At 40.5% G+C, this 20391-nt stretch overlaps 1 protein-coding gene across 3 annotated transcripts in view; it reads right to left on the bottom strand.

Moving 5' to 3' along the window:
* Nucleotides 1–20391, bottom strand: part of CCNYL1 (cyclin Y like 1) — a 44535-nt gene that overhangs the window by 4758 nt on the left and 19386 nt on the right. For 2 of the 3 annotated variants that reach the window (NM_001330218.2, NM_152523.3), the window contains 6 exons: nucleotides 17370–17470; nucleotides 13971–14006; nucleotides 10711–10762; nucleotides 9075–9194; nucleotides 4204–4370; nucleotides 298–460 (listed from right to left, as the gene is read on the bottom strand). In NM_001330218.2, coding sequence (NP_001317147.1) covers nucleotides 298–460; nucleotides 4204–4370; nucleotides 9075–9194; nucleotides 10711–10762; nucleotides 13971–14006; nucleotides 17370–17470 — 639 coding nt within the window. The remainder of the gene's footprint in view (nucleotides 1–297; nucleotides 461–4203; nucleotides 4371–9074; nucleotides 9195–10710; nucleotides 10763–13970; nucleotides 14007–17369; nucleotides 17471–20391) is intronic. The other variant, NM_001142300.2, reaches the window with a different exon arrangement.

Below are 20391 nucleotides of genomic sequence, written 5' to 3'. Positions count from 1 at the left end.
TTATGTGAAAGGGTAGAAGTTCAAAAGGAAACCTCATTAACAACAGATTAAATTTGATTTAAAATATTCTGAATTATGGTCACAGAAGAGTTAATATGTATAATTTTTAAATAATGTTGATCCTTGTATAAACCATACAAGACACAGGAAATCTGACGCCAAAGGGCTAATAAGCTCTTCAGTGTTAGTTAATTTTAAAGCTTTCCATTTTCCTAATCACTACTTAATATGATTTAGTCACAGATGTTGGCTTTGGTGGCTGATGGAAAACCTCACTTAGTGACTTCATAGCCTTACCTCTAGGTTCTGTGCTCTTTCTTTGCTAAGAGGAGCAAATAGAAAATTCAGGTTGTTGTCATCTGCTAAGGAGCGAAGGTCAAAGTAGTATTTGGCATAAACACTGGCAGGAACATTAATATTAAACTGAAGAAGCTCCAGAAAATGCCTTTCCATTTCATTCCTGGAGGAGGAAGAACACAACAGAACCAGCACAGGACAATGTCAGTCAACTGGGCTATCTTCAAAAATATCATTCTAAGAGACTAGAATGGCTCTAAACTCTATTTTAAAATATAGGCTACCCAGTTGTATTAACATACTAATGTTCACATAAGGTACAGTTACTTGTGGTCCCTTCTGCATCCCAGCACTCTGGAACTGGGATGAAGGTTGAAGGTTACGGCCTCCGATGCACTTGTGCTGCTGACTCGGGCCTCATTCTTCAGAGTTCCATTAGTGCAGCTGTACAATTCATACTTCACGCTCACTCACAAGGCCCCACTATAGTGATCAGATGAAAGGAATGATGTATGCTGTTTATTAGCTCTGAAGAACTTGCAGACATTTTCACCAGGCTGATAACAGGAAGGGGCTTATTGAAGTAGAGAAGCACCAACAAAAGGAGTAGGCATATCACCACGGCAACAAATGGATCCATCAAGAGCCACTGCTATTATCTCTGAGGGGGAAAAACTCTTGAGGCAACAAGGATTCATCTCAAATAAATAAATAAGCAAGCTACATTACAGGGGAAGGGAATCCCCTCCCCCTGTCCCGGCGCATGAGGCTATGTCAAAGGGCATAATGCAAGTTTCTGCTCACTTTAATATTATGAAGGTGAGAAATTGTCACTATGACAGGGTGAGGATACTCTTTAAACTTTGGAAGGCAGAAAGATCAAAGGTGGATGTCTTGGCTAGACTAAACCCATTTTATGATATGACTTATGGTAGGTCACTGGACTTAAAAACTCAGTGTTTCTTCTGAGTTGGGAATGAAACCCTGAGGTGCTCAGTATCTACCGTCCTGGTCAGAACAGAATGTAGGAGTGAGCTGAATGCAATGGGAGAGGAAAGGGCTGGGAGTAGTAGTCGGCTACATGACCACACAGCTGCCCTTGCCAAATGCTTAAGCAAATAAACATAAAACTAGAGAAAATCTTAACCACTTTCACAGTAATCCCTATAAGGAGTTAACTGTATAAAAATGATAAATACCTAAACAACATATTTGGTTTCTTGGTTTCAAAGTTTTAATATTTTATCCACTGGGTAAGTCAACAAATGCTTGATGATCTCCTGTATGGAGAGCAGTTAATATGAGCAGAGATGTGGTTTTCTCATTTGCTGAGCTTAAAAACCCAACTGAACCTACTTCCAAAATTAATTTCCTGTTCATATGTCCATAAGCCTATAGAAATGTAAATCAGATAATGTTTTGATAATCAGCTAACCAGGACTTAATTTACTACAGCAATAAATGCACTTCACAATCCCTTTTATATTTTTTCCACTAATACATTTTAACTGTGTAGAAATATAGTACTTCATAGGATTAACACACATATTAATAGAGGTTTAATCACTGAAGAAAAGCATTATGCTTACAGAATATGCATCTTCTAGGTTTTTTGTTTTTTTTTAAATGGCTAGGTGGCTGAATAGCATACCCTTTACAGGCACAGCAAACCGTCTGAATAGCAGCTGCTCAGTTTAACTTATTCTTTTAAAGGGAAATATATTCTAACAGGACATGTAGCTGTTGAAAATTTTTAAGAAAAACCTGATAGACACCAATTTAAAATTGTTTCAATTTAGACTCAAAATGAGACCACTACAAATAGTCAACAGCAGGGGGATGAGACAAATGTATATTAAACAGTTTGTTGAAATGCTTTCCAAAGATCATAAACAAAAGCAGCCTGTTTGTAGCATAGCTCCTGGTGCTTCCCTGGGCATACACAAACAGCACTATTTAGAACTGGTCTTCTTGGAGCTGGCCCCTGCCACCACTGCTCCTGAAGCTTACATCTGTAGAAACCTGCACATTTCCCTGCAGGTTCTCTGATACTGTATCTTGAACTAGAGCACCAGTCAGTTCAGTTGCAGGTTTTGAGAACATTTTAGCTGCCATCATGGTAGGGCTAAGTGTTCATAATAATAAATTTTGCTTCCTTCAAGAAACCAGTTTGCAGACGGATGACAGCAGTGATCAAAGTCACTTTAGTTTCTGCAATTTCCAAAAGTACTTCCATTTGTTTCAAATTCATTTGCTGTCACACCCTTTGCTAAAACGGCTACCAGCAATATCACTAGGGCTGTTCGGTAAACAGTAAAGTGGTCAACTTCACCAGAAGCCACTTCAACAGCTACCACAATTACTGGTTCCTTTTTAGTCACAAGTATCCTCACTTCAGTTGTGAATATATGGTATGGTAATTCTGAATGACAGTCATATGGAGTAATGGGCAAAGGCAATAAAAACAAACTCTTGCCACTGCCTGTCATGACCTTGATCTTCCTCTGCTGCTCAACATCATCAAGAGGTGCTCCTTCATATTTTTCTAAATGCCACCCACAAAGCCATTCTCACTGTCTGGTGGGCACCCTGAGAGCCTTTGCTGGAAATGCCTCCCTGGCTCAGCCTGCCTACCAAGCTCCAAGGCCCTTCCCTTCACGGCCGACACGAGGCCAGCCTGGAAGGAACCCTGATGAAGCTGCTGTTTCAGGGTCATATTGGTGCCATCTGTGAGGAACTCCATGACTCAGCAAGGATCCTTGCACTCTCATAGGTAACTCAAGGCCCCCAAAGTGGTGCTGTGGTTGTCCGAGTGCCCAGGGAGCCTCTCGAGTGTGGTGAGCGTTGGATGATGCCCCAGCAGTGCTTCTCAGACCGCCTGAGGGGAACGCTGGAGCTTCCTAACTCAGGAGACCAATTTCTAAATACAAAAAACACTCCTAATGGGGAGGGGTCAGGGGCACAGGGATCTTCATATCTCAAGGCTTCTGTAAAAACAGACCTTCAGATAAAATGTGGAAAGACTAGCAAAAGCAAATATACAATGTGTGACTCAGGTTGAAGCTACGTAACTTCTCAATAGTCCAGAGGCCCTAAGACCTAATAGTGGCCAAACAATTATTTCAAAGGCCAGACATATGCCCTTTAAGGGCTGTTTATACCCTACTGGTCACATGAAAAGATATAAATGAATGAATGAATGAATGAATGAAAAAGAGAAAGGAGCTTGAACTGGCAGATAACTTTTTAAAAGCCATAAAGAGGCCAGGCGTAGTGGTTCATGCCTGTAATCCCAGCTCTTTGGGAGACGGAGGCGGGCGAATCACAAGGTCAGGAGTTCAAGACCAGCCTGACCAACACAGTGAAACCTCGTCTCTACTAAAAATACAAAAATTAGCCAGGCATGGTGGCGCATGCCTGTAATCCCACTGTAATCCCAGCTACTCAGGAAGCTGAGGCAGGAGAATCGCTTGAACCTGGGAGGTGGAGCTTGCAGTGAGCCGAGACTGCATCACTGCACTCCAGCCTAGGCAACCGAGCAAGACTCCGTCTCAAAACAAAAAATAAAATAAAATAAAGATATTTACTGTGCTATGTTGTTCTGGTAGTATACTTGTAAGATTTTTGCCAAAAACCACCCAAAAAATATTTTTCAATTTATCAAGCAGATTATTACACATCAAAACCTACCAAGTAATGATGGAAAATATGAAGTTAGTTTTTTTTTTTTTGAGACAGTCTTGCTCTATTGTGAACTGTTATACTAAAGATAGACAGATATAGTCTTATGCCTATTTCCATTATCTGCATAATGTAACCTTTAAAAATATTCCTTAAATTGTTAACTTTATAGGAATAAGATACTGGAAAATGGTTAGAAAGTTCACCAAAACCTTACAAACTCACATGTCCTCAACTGTAATGTCCTTGAGGATCTGGCAGTAGTCCACATTCCATACAGCCTGATCGTCCCAAACCTTGGAGGCAAGAAGAATGGCTCCCAGAACAATCCTTTTCCAGTTGGTGGGACAAATGTCGATTTCAGCATAAGTTAAAAGCCTTTCTAAGTAAACCTGTAAAATAGAGCACTGGTCTTTGATTTTAGTTCAGTTTAAATGCTTTGATAAGCTTTTTTTTTTTTTTTGAGACGGAGTTTCACTCTTGTTGCCCAGGCTGTAGTGCAATGGTGCGATCTCGGCTCACAGAACCTCCGCCTCCCAGGTTCAAGTGATTCTCCTGCCTCGGCCTCCCGACTAGGTGGGATTACAGGCATGCGCCACCATGCCCAGCTAATTTTTGTATTTTCAGTAGAGACGGGGTTTCTCCATTTTGGTCAGGTTGGTCTCGAACTCCTGATCTCAGGTGATCCACCAGATCCTCCCAAAATGTTGGGATTACAGGCGTAAGCCACCGCGCCCGGCCCCGAAATGCTTTGATAAGAATTCATGACTGACAAATTTCTTTTGTTTTTGACCAGAAAATAAGTGCCTTTTATTCTTATGTTCTACAGAGACTTTGCTTACTCAGCCAAAGCAAGACACTAAATCACAGTTGTAGGTCAGATATCTCTGCTGCCTATTCTGCCCATATACATTTCCCACCCAGTCACAGGAATGACTGGACATCTCAGCAAACAGCATCATCAAGAGAGGCACTCTTATCACCTCCACACCCATAATAGAGTTGTTCAATAAATAATGAGTGCCTACCAGGTACAATGTATCATACTTGCATGGTAGATAGTAATTTTACAGGTAGCTATATTATGCTCAAATATGTAAAACCCAAGTAATACTGAGCACATTTTTACCTTCTCCTTTTCACAGTAACTAACCCTTTTGTGGCACTAGCTTGAAGAACTGCTGGTCAAGAGAGCCACCCAGTGGCTGCTGTGCAGAGCAGCATGACAGGTCTTTAGGCTGTAAAATATTCCCCGTATTCAGTGCCTCCACAAGGAACACAGATGGACAAAAGGATGTCTCTGGACCCCTGGTATTCCTCTAAACCTGCCAAGCAGTTTATGAGACAATTTCATGAATTATTTTACATCTACCAAACATCCTTCAAAGAACTGAGCAAAGTGAACAGCTGAGTAAAGATTTCAGAGGTAAGCTGTAATTTGCTGTTACCTCAAAGGGTTCTCTGTGGAAGAGTATGTCTATATGCTGTTTGAACTCTGTATCAAGACAAAAAGAAATCTTTTTAGGCTGGAGTGCAGTGATGCAATCTTGGCTCATTGCAACCTCTGCCCCCTGGGTTCAAGCGATTCTCCTGCCTCAGCCTCCCAAGTAGCTGAGCACCCGCCAGCACGCCTGGCTAATTTTTGTATTTTTAGTAGAGACGGGGTTTCACCATGTTGGCCAGGCTGGTCTCAAACTCCTGGCCTCAAGTGATCTGCCCACCTCAGCCTCCCAAAGTGCTGGGATTACAGGCGTGAGCCACTGTGCCAAGCCTGAAAAAAGTTCATTTTAACAGAGCTTATTTACTGTCTGAAGGTTATCAGATAGGCAGATCAGATCTGGCAGTGTTCTCCAAACTGGACTGTGTTTTCAAAAATGGATATTGAACATGACATGTTCTTAAGAGAGATTCTGTTCCCTTTCCCCCAAATTCTGCACTCTCAGTATCCTAACAGGGTTCAAATCTCAATGGGAATAATTAGACCACAGGGAAACAACATAGACAATCCCTCAACTTCCTGTTGCCTTTACGGGTAAGCTGGTGATGTGCTGATGCTCACTGATACCACTTGCCCTCCTGTGTCAGTGTGAGAGTTCTTTTCTTCCCACTAAAGCCAACTCCATCAGTGCAGTTGATCCCCTCCCACTTGTGCAGAACACTGTCCCCGCAACTGCGTCTTTTTGAAGGCTTTCTCCTTCTCTGCCAGAGATTTTCCCCAACGTGTTTCCTTTGTTCCCATCCCCCTCCCCACAACTCCCCGGATGTGTCCTCTCATTTGCTCAAAGCATCATGTCCTGGTGTCAGCTTCTCATCTCCCATCTCTCCTTAACCCACTCCTGTTTGTCCCTTGCTGCTGTCACTCTCCTGAGACTCCTCTTGCCAAGGTCCCCAGAGTCTTCACACTTACAAGCCAGAGCTCTTCATCCCACTGCTCCACTCCCCAAGTCTTCCCTAATATTGTACAGGGCATTTCCATTCACCTAGTTGCTGAGACCAAATACCTACATTCAAGTTATCCCACACCAGACTGTGCACAATTCCTGCTATGTCCACCTTCATTGGTAGGCTGCTCGCTTTTGATTCTGAGCTGCCATTTGTCACTGCTCACCTGTATCACCCTCGTTGCTTCTTAACTCTCTTCTCTGCCTCTATTCTGCCAATTATGGCCTACTCTCTTCAAGCCATCAGCATAACTTCTTAAGAGCACTTCACTCCCCTGCTCAAAATCTACCTAAAGTACCCATCAAACTGGAATAAAAACTTCTTCCTGGCCAGGCGCAGTGGCTCACACTTGTAATCCCAGTACTTCGGGATGCCGAAGTAGGCGGATCACCTGAGGTCGGGAGTTCAAGACTAGCCTGACCAACATGGCGAAGCCCGGTCTCTACTTAAAAAAAAAAAAAAAAAATTAGGCGTGGTGACGGGCACTGGTAAGCCCAGGTACTCGGGAGGCTGAGGCAGGGAGAATTGCTTGAACCTGGGAGGTGGAGGTTGCAGTGAGCCAAGATTGAGCCACTGCACTACAGCCTGGGTGACATAGCAAGACTCCGCATCTCAAAAACAAAACAAAACAAAACAAAAAAAACCTTCCTGTGGCCTGCAAGCCAAAAGGCCCTATGTGACCTCAACCTCCTCCACTCTTTCCAACTCACTCCAACCACACGGGACACCTTGCTGTTTGTTCCTTGAACACACACACACACACACACAAAATGTTCCTGTCTAGTCTTGGCACTTGTCTGGCTGCCTGTAATGCCAGCACTCTTTACCTTCTTGCTTTGATCAGGTCACTGCTCAAATGTCACCTCTAGAGAGGTTCTTCCTGATCATTCTATCTAAAATAGTGAGCCCCTCCTGTCACTCTGTATCCCTTTATGCTGCTTCATCTTCTTGCTACTTACCACTACCTGAAAAAATGTCTTCCTCACTAGAACATAAGCTCATAAAGGCAAGAACTTTGTTCAATCTGCCTCTCCTCTACTCTAGCACTTGGTAGCTCACGTCTGTAATCCCAACACTCTGGCAGGATCACCTGAGGTCAGTTCTGAGACCAGCCTGGGCAACATAGCTAGACTCTAGTTCTACTAAAAAATTAAAACAAAACAAAACAAAAACAAAAACAAAAACAAAAAACAAGAATAGTGGCACAGAGTAGGCACCCAGTGAATATTTACAGAATCAGAAACTTCTTGGCAGCATTTAACACTGGGACCATAGCCTCTCTTATCTTGATCTCTGTTCTTTTATTACCTTCTCCTGGGTTTCCTCCTTCCACTCCATCTGGGAGCTTGTCCCTCAAAAATGCTAACAGTCTTTAGAGATCTATCTTCTATCCACTTTCTTTTCTTTTTTTAGAGATGGGGGTCTTGCTATGTTGCCCAAGCTGGACTCAAACTACTGCACTCAAGTGATCCTCCCACCTCAGCCTCCCCAGCAACAGGGACTACAGGTGTGCACTACCATGCCTAGCTTCTCCACTTTCATTCTGCAACCTTTCTCTGTATTTGAACAGCTACTATAACTCTTCATTCCTTACCTCTAAGCTCAGATTCATGCTCCAGTCCGGTACATTCAAATGATTATTGGACACTGTCACTGCTACCTCACAGGCACATAGAGCTTAAACCATCTAAAATGAACTCCCCTCTTCCTGTACAGCTTCCTCTCCTGTATCACCTGTCTCTCTACATCTGGAAGCACCACTCCTGCTTCTCTACAGTATGTGCTAAGTGTTCCAAATGGCTTACAGCTCCATGAAAAGGCCTAAGTCTGATCCAGTACCCACTGAGGGGCTTCTATTCAAGTGCACAGAAGCCTTCTCTCCTAAATTCCAATTGGATGCTAAAGGAGTAGGTACTGACCTAAGTATTCTTTCCCTCCAGGCCATGCAGTTGACCTTCCTCTATAGGTTTGCTGTGGGGAGGAGTAAAACAATCCTAACCACTTGAATAGGATTTATTATTCAATGATAAAATCTTACCATAGGAATTCTGTATGGAGGACATAAAGTTAAGGACACAGCTATAGCTTAGTAAGCTAATCAGCAAAGCCTTTGTCCAAGTATTGCTGGTACCACATTGCTGGGCAACATCACGAGCAGGCACAAGAGGTAGGCAGAGATGATTAAAACCCATCATCCAAGGAACAAAGAATTTAGGGCAATAGTTCTCAATCACCACACATATCGGAAATACCTGGGGAATAGAGCCTGGGACTTGGCTTAGACCTACACTGGAATCAGTATCTGGCTCTGAACCACATGGTTTTGTTACCACTCCCCATCACCCCCAGCCCTGCCACCATGCCTTGTATGTGTACACACTGAATGTGTACATGTGCATTGATGGGTAGGGGGAGAAACCAGAAATCTCCCCGGCTGCCTTTTGTAGCAACTGTTCTGTGATGAGAAAAGCAATGGAAACATGTTCAACCATAATGATGATTAAACGCGAATGTACGTATTTATGTTCCTTTCATAGGTTTCTCTTAAAGTTCTGATGATAATTTCAGGAACCTATTTTTATTTGAAAAATAGGACCATACCCTGTGTACAAGACTAATTTCTAAAGACACTTTATAAATGAGAAATATCTTACCAAAGTTACTATTGCACATTCAGCTGTTAGCTGTGCAGCACTAAAAAGAGTACGAACAAATCTGTAAATAAATTTGTGCTCAGGATCATGCTTAAAGTATTCCTCTGGAACTTTTTCTCGCTGAAAGAAGAAAAGATGCAATGTTAGTATCCACTGAAGAAAAAAATTTTAAGCTTTTTTTTTTTTTTTTTGAGACTGAGTTTCACTCTTACTGCCCAGGCTGGAGTGCAATGGCATGATCTTGGCTCACTGCAACCTCTACCCCCCGGGTTTAAGTGATTCTCCTGCCTCAGCCTCCTGAGTAGCTAGGATTACAGGCACCCGCCACCACGCCCAGCTAGTTTTTGTATTTTTAGTAGAGACGGGGTTTCAACATGTTGGTCAGGCTGGTCTCAAACTCCTGACCTCAGGCAATCCACCTGCCTTGGCCTCCCAAAGTGCTGGGATTACACGCGTGAGACACCACGCCCGGCCTAAGTACTTTTTTTTTTTTTTTTGAGACCCAGTCTTGCTCTGTCGCCCAGGCTGGAATGCAGTGGCACAATCTCGGCTCACTGCAACCTCCACCTCCCAGGTTCAAGTGATTCTCCTGCCTCAGCCTCCTGAGTAGCTGGGATTACAGGCGTGCACCAACATGTCCGGCTAATTTTTTGTATTTTTAACAGAGGCAGGGTTTCACCATGCTGGCCAGGCTGGTCTCAAACTCCTGACCTCATGATCTGCCCACCTCGGCCTCCCAAAGAGCTGGGATTACAGGGGTGAGCCACCATGCCCAGCTGGCCTAAGTACTCCTAAGACCAGCAGTGTTGACGTTTGAGCCCATGTACCCCTTAAAATAATTCTGGTTGAGTGACATGACTTTTAGTTTTTAAAATATAAACAATTGGATCTTAAAATATCATAGTGATTCAATACTCATCACCATTTATCATTAAGGAAAAATACAGGCACAACTCAGAAAATTTTTATGTTCCTTTCCACTTTCTATCCACAGAATTCTATCAAAATGTAAACTACTTGTAGGCTCGAAAGTCTTACTAATCATATGTTAGGATTCTCTTAAATACACTTTGAAAAATTTTTTTTTTTTGAGATGGAGTCTCACTGTCGCCCAGGCTGGAGTGCAGTGGAGCGATCTTGGCTCACTGCAAGCTCCGCCTTCCACGTTCACGCCATTCTCCTGCCTCAGCCTCCCAAGTAGCTGGGACTACAGGCGCCTGCCACCGTGCCCGGCTAATTTTTTGTATTTTTAGTAGAGACGGGGTTTCACTGTGTTAGCCAGGATGGTCTTGATCTCCTGACCTCGTGATCCGCCTGCCTCGGCCTCCCAAAGTGCTGAGATTACAGGCATGAGCCACCGTGCCCGGCCTGAAAAAATATCTTTAGTTTCCTGTAACCATAAGGCTCAAAGGCTTCACTGTCCAAGACAATAGTCATTAGCCACGAGCGGCTATCATATACCTGAGGAAGTGAATTTTTAAATGTTTACACCATTTTAATTGATTTAAATTTAAATTGTTTTCTAATTATCTTCATAGAGATCATGTATATTTGTTAGGACTATTTATAAATATCAGCATGAAATAAACACAACTCTATGAGAGAAAAATACTACCTCAAAAAAAGTGACACTTACTGTAAGTGGATGTGATCTCTCATCAAAAATATCCAGGGATCTATTTGCATCTCTATAAAATAAGAATATGCATTGAAGAAGTTAATTCAGGAATTGTTAATATCTGAGTAAAATGTCTGCTGGGGGTGGCGGGAGATGCCTCCTGTTTGCTTTGGTGTTTGCTTCACCAAAGCAAAGAGTTGTACAAATTCTTCTCCGGGATGCCAGCCTTCAGAGGATTTCCTGACCTCTTTTTACTCAGCATATGAGGTTCTGTACTGTGAGGTCTTTTCTACAATGACGATTCAGAATTGCCTTTAAGTATTGGCCCTCCCTAACAGGCAATGGTAATAAAGTATATTTTCACTCTTCTAACCCCTCATTGGAACTCAAGAACGTTTTACACAGCAGTAGTGGTGGGCAATAAACTCTTTAGAACTTTAATGACTGTGAATGAAATTCAGATTTCCCAGGCTTTTCCTTTCTAGTTCTCCGTATTACATTCTTGACATGTATTTGTTTAAGTAGTTTGATGAGTTAAAAACCTTATTGTCTTTTTATTTTAAAAGAGACAAGGCTTTGATAATCTTTACAAGTTTATAAAACTAATACATTGTGCTCATTTAATAAAACCAGTGGTTCTCCAAGTGTGGTCTGTGGACTTCTGGAGACCCTCTAGATCCTTTTCCAAGAGGTCCTTGAGGTCAAAACTGTTCTTTTAAGAATACTTATTCAACCTGAGAAAGCTGATTGAAAATTTAGAAATAAAAATAATTTAAAAAAAAAGAATACTAAGGTATTGCTTGCTTTTTGACTGTATGACATTTGTAATGAGTGTATAACAGCAAAAGTGGGCAAACTGCTGGCTTCTCAGCATGAATCAAGGCAGTGCTACCAAATTATACTAGAAGTTATGCTACTCTTTACTGCCTCTTGCAGTTTAAGAAAAACACCTGCTTCACTCATGAATATCCTTGCTGAAGCAGTAAAAATTAATGGTATTATTAAATCTTGACCTTTCTTTTCACTATTCTGGAGTAAGCAGAAAGTTCACATAAAGTAATTCTGCATACCGAGGTAGAGTTGTGTTAAGGAAAAGCACTTGTGATTTAATTGTGAGCTAAACAAGCCATTTTTTTTTCACAGAATATCATTTTTACTTGAAAGTACAAATGTCATTCTCAAAAATGAAAGAAGTGGCCAGGTGTGGTGGCTCATGCCTATAATCCCAGCACCTTGGGAGGCTGAGGCGGGTGGATCACTTGAGGTCAGGAGTTCGAGACCAGCCTGGCCAACAGGGTGAAACCCCATCTCTACTAATACAAAAATTAGCCAGGCATGGTGACAGGCGCCCGCAGTCCCGGCTACTCAGGAGGCTGAGGCAGGAGAATCACTTGAACCCGGAAGGCAGAGGTTACAGTGAGCGAAGATGGCACCAGTGCCCTCCAGCCTGGGCAACAGAGTGAGACTCAGTCTCAAAAGATAAATAAATAAAAAGTTTTAAAAAAATGAAGCCTGTCACTTCAAGAAAATAACACTATTTGTTGCAATGATAAAATTCAAGCTTTCAAACTAAAAATCAGGATTTGGAGAAACTTGTACCTTATTATGTGAGTTTAACAGCTTCTCAATACTTAAAGATTTTTTAATACAATTGGTGGTGATACTAACAAAAGTGAGCTTTGCCACTGTCAAGAAATGTGAACCAGGCTGGGTATGGTGGCTCACGCCTGTAATCCTAGCACTTTGGGAGGCTGAGGTGTGCGGATTGCTTGAGCTCAGGAATTCAAGACCAGCCTGGGCAACATGGTGAAACACTGTCTCTACTAAAAATACAAAAAATTAGCTGGTATGGTGGTATGTATTTGTAATCTCAGCTACTTGGGAGGTTGAGACAGGAGAATCGCTTGAACCCGGGAGGCGGAGGTTGCAGTGAGCTGAGACTGCACCACTGCACTCCAGCCTGGGTGATGGAATGAGACTCTGTCTCAAAAAAAAGAAAAAAAAAAGAAAGAAGAGATGTGAACCAATATTTTCCATATAACCAATGCATAATATTAGAAAACCAAGTAAGGGGAAATGATACATATATTGTACAAGACAGATGGGTGAGTACTAATAAAAAATTCATTGATAACACAAAATTCCACTGTAACCATTTTAAGAAACTAGCACTTGTGGAGTGTTGGGTAGTATTAAAGAATACTGGCCGGGTATGGTGGCTCATGCCTGTAATCCCAGCACTTTGGGAGGCTGAGGCGGGTGGATCACCTGAGGTCGGGAGTTCAAGACCAGCCTGGTCAACATGGCAAAACTCCATCTCTACTAAAAATACAAAAATTAGCCAGGCGTGGTGGCATGCGCCTGTAACCCCACCTACTCGGGAGCCCGAGGCAGGAGAATCGCTTGAACTTGGGAAGTGGAGGTTGCAGTGAGCCGAGATCGTGCCACTGCACTCCAGCCTGGGCAACAGACAAGACTCCGTCTCAAAAAAAACCAAATAAAAATAAACTAAAAAATAAAGAATACCCACAACCATCTGAAAGCTTTAAAAATATACCTTTTACCAACTATATATTTGCGTGAGGCTAGGTCATCTTCTTATCACTTCTTCAAAACAAATTACAGCTCACTACCAGGGTGCACTATTAGCCACGTAATACACCTACACATGTACTCACTGTATCTAAAATAAAAGTTGAAATTAAAAAAAAAAACTAATTGCAAAGACAGAGATGAGAATCCAGCTGTTTTCTGTTAAGCTGGACACTAGAGAGTTGTATATATATAAATACATGACACATTTTACTCAACTTCGTTGTTGTAGAAGAGAGTTATTTTTCATGAAAAAATATTATTTATGTTAACAATATGATTCTCAGTCAGGGGTTATATTTTTGTTGTCACAACCTGGGACAGCTGTTAAATATCCTACAATACACAGGACAGTCCCCACAACAAAGACTTATGTAGCTCAAAATATCAACAGTGCCAACGTTGAGAAACTGAAACTAAATATAGGGTTTTTTTTTTTAAATTCTCAACTTCAATTTCTAATGCAATAAATATCAATATAACCAACATAAACAAATACTCTTTGGGATCCTCAGTAATTTAATAATTGAAACCATCTTGGGGACCAGAAAAACCACAAATGATTCAGTTCAATACTGTAATAGCAATCTATAGCTTATGATGTCTATAGTTATGACCTAATACTGAACTTGATATCATGCAAAGTAATTAGCTGGAATAACAAGACAGGTTTTAAAGGAGCTCACCTGTTCTTTATGTGGTAATATATTGCTAAGGTCACACTGTGAAGGGAAAAAAAAATTATTTTTAACAACTGATTTAAACATTTGTTAGGCCTGAAGACATTTTTTAAATGAGGGAAGGGAGGAACCCTCCTAGCGGCCCTGAAATCCTCTAGTTCAGAACAGTACCATATGGGTACTTTCCCCTTGTTTTAGTTCCTTTCAGCAAAAATACACGAACCAAAATGCTAAGTAAGGCCGGGCGCAGTGGCTCACGCCTGTAATCCCAGCACTTTGGGAGGCCGAGGCAGGTGGATCACGAGGTCAGGAGATCGAGACCATCCTGGCTAACACGGTGAAACCCCGTCTCTACTAAAAATACAAAAAATTAGCCGGGCGTGGTAGCAGGCGCCTGTATTCCCAGCTACTCAGGAGGCTGAGGCAAGAGAATGGCGTGAACCCGGGAGGCAGAGCTTGCAGTGAGCCGAGATCGTGCCACTGCACTCCAGCCTGGGCGACAGAGCGAGACTCCGTCTCAAAAAAAAAAAAAAACCCAGTAATATGCTGTTAAAATACATGTTTCTGTGGACTATTATAATATATAAATAATTACATATATCCCCATTTGCTCTTCTGCCCATAGAACCTTTCATTTTATACAAGTTCTACCTATTTGTATACATGCTTAAATTTAAACTATTTGGTTTTTTGGTTATTTTTATTTTTTGCTTTTTAAGCTGTTAGGCTCTGCATTTCAGTTGATTTAATTAACTATCACCTACCCACCCATCTTTCATTATTTCCCCTTAAAGTAAATAAAAGTGTTTTATACCAAATAAAATCATTTATGATCAATTTTGCATCATTAGTAGAAAATTTATTAGTAAATAAGTGCACACAAAACCAATGATAGGTGTAGCTATCCTGAAATAAGCAGTGCTAACAATGCAGCATAAAACTACAAAGTGTAATATTAATGGCAAGTATTTCCACATTGGTTTAAGTAAAATATTAGTGAACAGACACGACTTTTCAGATATATGTTACTGTATTCCTAAATTACCCACAGATGTTGTGTATCAGGAAACAAGGAGTTGTCTTAGGTAAGTTATATGCTTCCATTTGCCCTCAGTCTCTAAACTGAGGCTCAAAATAATTGAGGGAAGGCAAATCTGAATTTTAAGTCCATACAATGTTAGCACTTTTTTAAAAAGTCTGTAACATTAGCATCTAAGATGGATACTTCTATAGTGCTTCAAACATTTTCATGTCCAAATTGATTTTAACATTACAGAATTTGAAGTTATATGCTGAAAAGGACCACGGAACCTTACATGACATTTAATCCAACACCCAGTTTACAGATATGGGAACCAAGGCTTAAAACTGACTTGCCCAAGGTCCCACCAAATAGAAGCAGTTCATCCTCCTACATTCAATTAAGCAGTGGTTCTCAAACTTTCTGCACACTGCAATCACCTGAGGAGCTTTAAAAACTGCCTAACTTCCAACTTGAGACATTCTGATTTAATTGGCATCGGGTATGACTTGGGGCATGAGGAGTGTTTTTTGTTGTCTTTTTGTGTGTTTTGTTTTGTTTTTTTTTTGAGACAGAGTCTTGCTCTGTCGCCCAGGCTGGAGTAAAATGGCACAATCTCGGCTCACTGCAACCTCCGCTTCCCGGATTCAAGCTATTCTGTCTCAGCCTCCCAAGTAGCTGGGATTACAGGTGCACGCCACCACGCTTGGCTAATTTTTTTGTATTTTACTAGAAATGGGGTTTCACCGTGTTGCCCAGGCTGGTCTCAAACTCCTGAGCTCAGGCAATCTACCCGCCTTGGCCTCCCAAAGTGCTAGGATTACAGGTGTCAGTCACCACGCCCAGCCTGAGGGTTGTTTTTAAAGTTCCCCTGGTGATGATTCCAATGTGCTGCAAATTTTGGGAATGACTGAGTTAGGGTTAAGACCAGAATCATCTGGGATGTGCTTGTCTGTGTAATTATGCCTCACATGCCTTCTCCATTTTCCTAAAAGGCTTGTGACTGCCTAGAGATCAAGGGAAGGTGGAGGTGAGATGAATTTGTTTGTGGACATATATTTTGAAAAAAGTTGCGTAAGTGATTCTGATATGGCTCACCCAACCTATGAGAATAACGCACTAGTAAGCCATGATAAACATTTTTCAAAATCTTTCCTAAAAGTCAATTTGCCATACTTGTGAAACCTTTATTTAACCAGTAGTGAAATATACCAAATGATCATTTCTAAAACTTACTGAGAACAAATTAAAACTTACTGTACTTCCAAAAGTAGACATCTAAAAATTAAGACTAAAATGGGGGGAAAAAAGCATGAAATCTATTATACTTGTTTGAGCAAGGTTAATCTTTAAAACTACTTTGAATCTTATAGAAACATCAGAATCTTTTGAATTCAAAAGAAGCCAGGGACTCTAGCCAAAGTGGAGTGGTTTTTTAACTCAAGGATTTAGGACCTTGGCTGAATACAAACATTGAATGATTACTCAGTAGGTGCCAAAGCTCAGGACTTTAGACAGAGTCAGAGTCCAGTTTGTGCTGAAACACAATTTGATTTCAACTATTGTTTTAAGTGAGAGAGGAAAGTGACATTATTATGAGTGTAAATTTGCTGCTTTTAAAGTAGAAGTTACTGACAATTGAATTAACTAAAAAAAAAAGCTAGTACATTAGAAACAAAATTAAGTTTATAAGCTAGTTATGTTTTTAGACTAAAAAGTAAAATTAGGGATAAGGACATTAATATTCTAGTGTAGCACTTCCCAACGGTGTTCTGAAAATCAACGCTCATAATCCAAGGAGATGTTAATAGTTTCCTGACAACCCCAATGGAGTTGTTTGCTGTTGTTGTTGGTTTTTAAATAAACTTGAAAAGTTCATCTTAGGGTGTTCTGAAAGTGCATCTCAGATTGTGCCCAAGAGGTGCTCATGCACGACAGGGAAAATGTAAATGCAGATACACTATGGTGCCAGTAGAGGACAAGCTGTTCCTTCTTCCAAGAGTAGTTTGCAAAGCAGTACACATTGTTTGAGACCTGTAACTCATAACAAACTAACGTTTTTCCAGAAACATCCAATAAAAAGCACCTCTCCTTCTCACATTATGTTCGACACTGTCTTAACATAAATGCATTAAATAAATAGCTACACTTTTCTGGGATTGCTTCTTCACTAACTGGCTTTCCCTTCCACCATGCAGCCTAAGATTAAAACAGGAAATTAAAATTCATATTTAGATCCTTGAAATCAATATATAGTTGACACCGATTTCTTAAACTCATTGCTGAAAAGGACAATCAAATGGCTGAAATTACCGAGGATGGCTAGGATGCTTTTAGCATAAGGGGGTCTGTCACTCAGCCCTTGGCAGCCTAGTTGTACTCACCATTTTACTGTGGTTCTAAGATTAGGCTGGCTGACTGTGCTGTCATCTAGAAATATTGTTGAGCATGAGCTATACTTTTTAGTAAGCTGCCCTGGAGATACCTGAAGGGGAAGGGAAATAGAAGAAAATGTCACAGTAAGTTAAACCTATAAAAGTGTGGTTTTTCCTTGGTTAAAATGTCAAATGATAAAGCATTAAGATATTTCTTACACTCCATGAACTGCCTGAGTGTAGTATCATGTGCAGCTCTATGGGAAACCCAGTGGAGGCTCTCCCACAGACAGTGTTTGAGGAATGGGTTATGAAATGCTGCTCTTGTGGTACCTATAATCAAACCTGGCAAGCATCTGTTATGCATTCCCTGTATAAATTAATGGGAAAAGTTTACAATAAGATTTCAGTGTTTTTTCTTAAGCAATAAAAAGCAGCTGAGATTTTCTATTATTCCTTCACTACAGTAAAATGTAATGCCTTAAATCATATTTGCATAAGAGCATTTTATTGAAGTAAATGAAAGCCTAATACTACATTTACTAAGTTACTAATATTAAACGTATTAGTTCAGGAGACAGTATGAGAAACAAGTGTTTCACAGTCAGAGGCTTCGTCTGCCAGGGCTGCTCCATCACCCTCAGTGAAAGGGCCTGTTTTCTTATGTGGAGAAGAAAAAGTATCACTTTAATATTCCAAACAAAAAAGATGACAAAAACAACTTTAGGAATTTAACTTGCACTTCATATTTAAATAAAACTGCCATTACATTATTCAAATGAGAACCTCAGAGAACACTCTCCATTTCAAAATGTTATTAATTTTATTCTATAAGTTATTTGACAGGCATCATGGCACTTGCCTGACTCACTCATGCTGCTCTGCCTGGAATACCTTGTTCTTCCTCCTTATCCCGATAAGCCTGACCCCATCTGCCTTCTGGGATCCCTTTGCCCGCAGCCACACCAAAAAACATTTCCCTTTTGGTACATTCATCCATCTAATTCACCACTTGTTACATGATACCAACTGCTTGTGGAGTAACCCCTCACAAGAAAGTAAGCTTCTCCAGGGAAGGAAGGACTCTTCCTCCTCATACCTCTGGCTGCTGAGCACAGAATTGGGGACAAATTAAGGAGTTCAACAAGTGTTTGACAAATTATTTAAATCAGTTACAATTTGGAAGGTAAATGCTACTACACACAAATTAGCAGAATTTATCTGCATTTGTATCAAGGAGGTGACTATGAACTTTTTGAGCCCTCTAGAAAATAAACCATCTTTAAAACACTTTAGAAGTATCCATTTATTTGGGAAGAGTGCAACAGTCAAATACTGAAACAGCCTGAACTATGTTAAGAAGGTCAGTAACCAAATCCCAGTCATTGAATAGCTGAAAGTAACAGTAGCATTTTTTTTTAAAACCACAGAATACTAATAATTTTAACACTTAAAAAAAAAACTAATTCAGATGAGCCTTCCTTCTTCCTATTAATATGATAGTTTTTACCATGTTGTCACACTCTCCCATCAGTATCCCACACATATACATGAAAGACAGGGCAGGGAGAAGGTCTAGTCATTGCTTTTAAAAATGCATGCATTAAAAAATCGCCAGTAGCCAATAATCAGAAATATCCATACAGTGTAACAGCATTTTGTTTCAGATGTTTTTACTGCAGTCACTTAATTCTTACTAACAAAAAGTCCCAGATATTCTATTTTTAAAAAGTATTACTATTTGAAGGACCAAATTCTCCTTCAACCTAGAAATGTTTTCAACTATATCTAAACTCATGTTTCTTAAGCTATTATATTTAATGTATATAGTTTACATTAACTGTGTATGTGTGCTAATGTATATACTTTTATTGTCTCAAGAAACACATACAGTATAAAAAATAAAAACTGACTCATTCAAATACATTCATTCAAAGTGGAAGGTGGGGCTGGGCACGGTGGCTCACACCTGTAATTCCAGCACTTTGGAAGGCCAAGGCGGGTGGATCACCTGAGGTCAGGAGTTCGAGACCAGCCAGGCCAACATGGAGAAACCCTATCTCTACTAAAAATACAAAAATTAGCCAAGCGTGGTGGTGGGCTCCCATAATCCCAACTACTCGGGAGGCCGAGGCAAGAGAATCACTTGAACCTGGGAGGCGGAGGTTGTAGTGAGCCAAGATTGCACCACTGCACTCCAGCCTGGGTGACAGAGCGAGACTTGGTCTCAAAAAAAAAAAAAAAAAAAAAGAAGAAACCTCTCTGCTAATCAATATATAGCATGAGACACACCACTAACTTTCAACTATCCAAATTTTTTGTTATCAAGAGTATCACTATATCTCTTGAGACTAGGGGGTGGCAGAATTAAGCTTCTGAGCAAAGCAATTATAGCTGGCAACAGGTAATTCCCCCATCATGTTGCTGGAAAACTCAACAATTTCCTTTATTTTAGGCTAAAGCCTTACCAAAGCTGACTTACAACCTCAACAAACTCTATTGACAAACATAATAATATAAAATATAAATACTTAAAAAAAATCCAAACAACAAAACACTACTGAAAGTTCACAGATGTCATTTCAGGTAGTCACAAAATAGGGACAAAGAATATATCATTCATCTTCATTTAGTCTGCACAAATGACAATCTTTAACAAGAAAGGGAAGGGGTACTGAGTAGACTTAAGGGAGAATAGCAAAGATAGAAAATAATCATACTTAGTAATCTACTGAGTCACAACTGAAACCTTAAAGGTAAAGTACCTGTTGAACTCCTATGCCTATCCACTGACTTTTCCCATTGTGCCTACTGCCTCTAATTTTAACCCATTTAAAATAAGAGGTAAATGCTACTACAGAATCCGTCTCAAAAAAAAAAAAGAATTAATGACTTTTAATTAACTTAAAAATTTCTGACATTTTGTGCATTAATGAAACACCTCCATCTATGTTGCACAGTAATGGGGCAATATAGCAGGATGCAGAGTTTGAATACAATTCCTAAGGCCTTACTAGAAGAGTATAATATG

The sequence above is a fragment of the Homo sapiens genome, chromosome 2 (assembly GCF_000001405.40).
Source record: "Homo sapiens chromosome 2, GRCh38.p14 Primary Assembly".
Lineage (NCBI taxonomy): Eukaryota > Metazoa > Chordata > Mammalia > Primates > Hominidae > Homo > Homo sapiens.
Note: the sequence above shows the minus strand (reverse complement) of the source record. Positions and strands in the feature narration are given on the sequence as shown.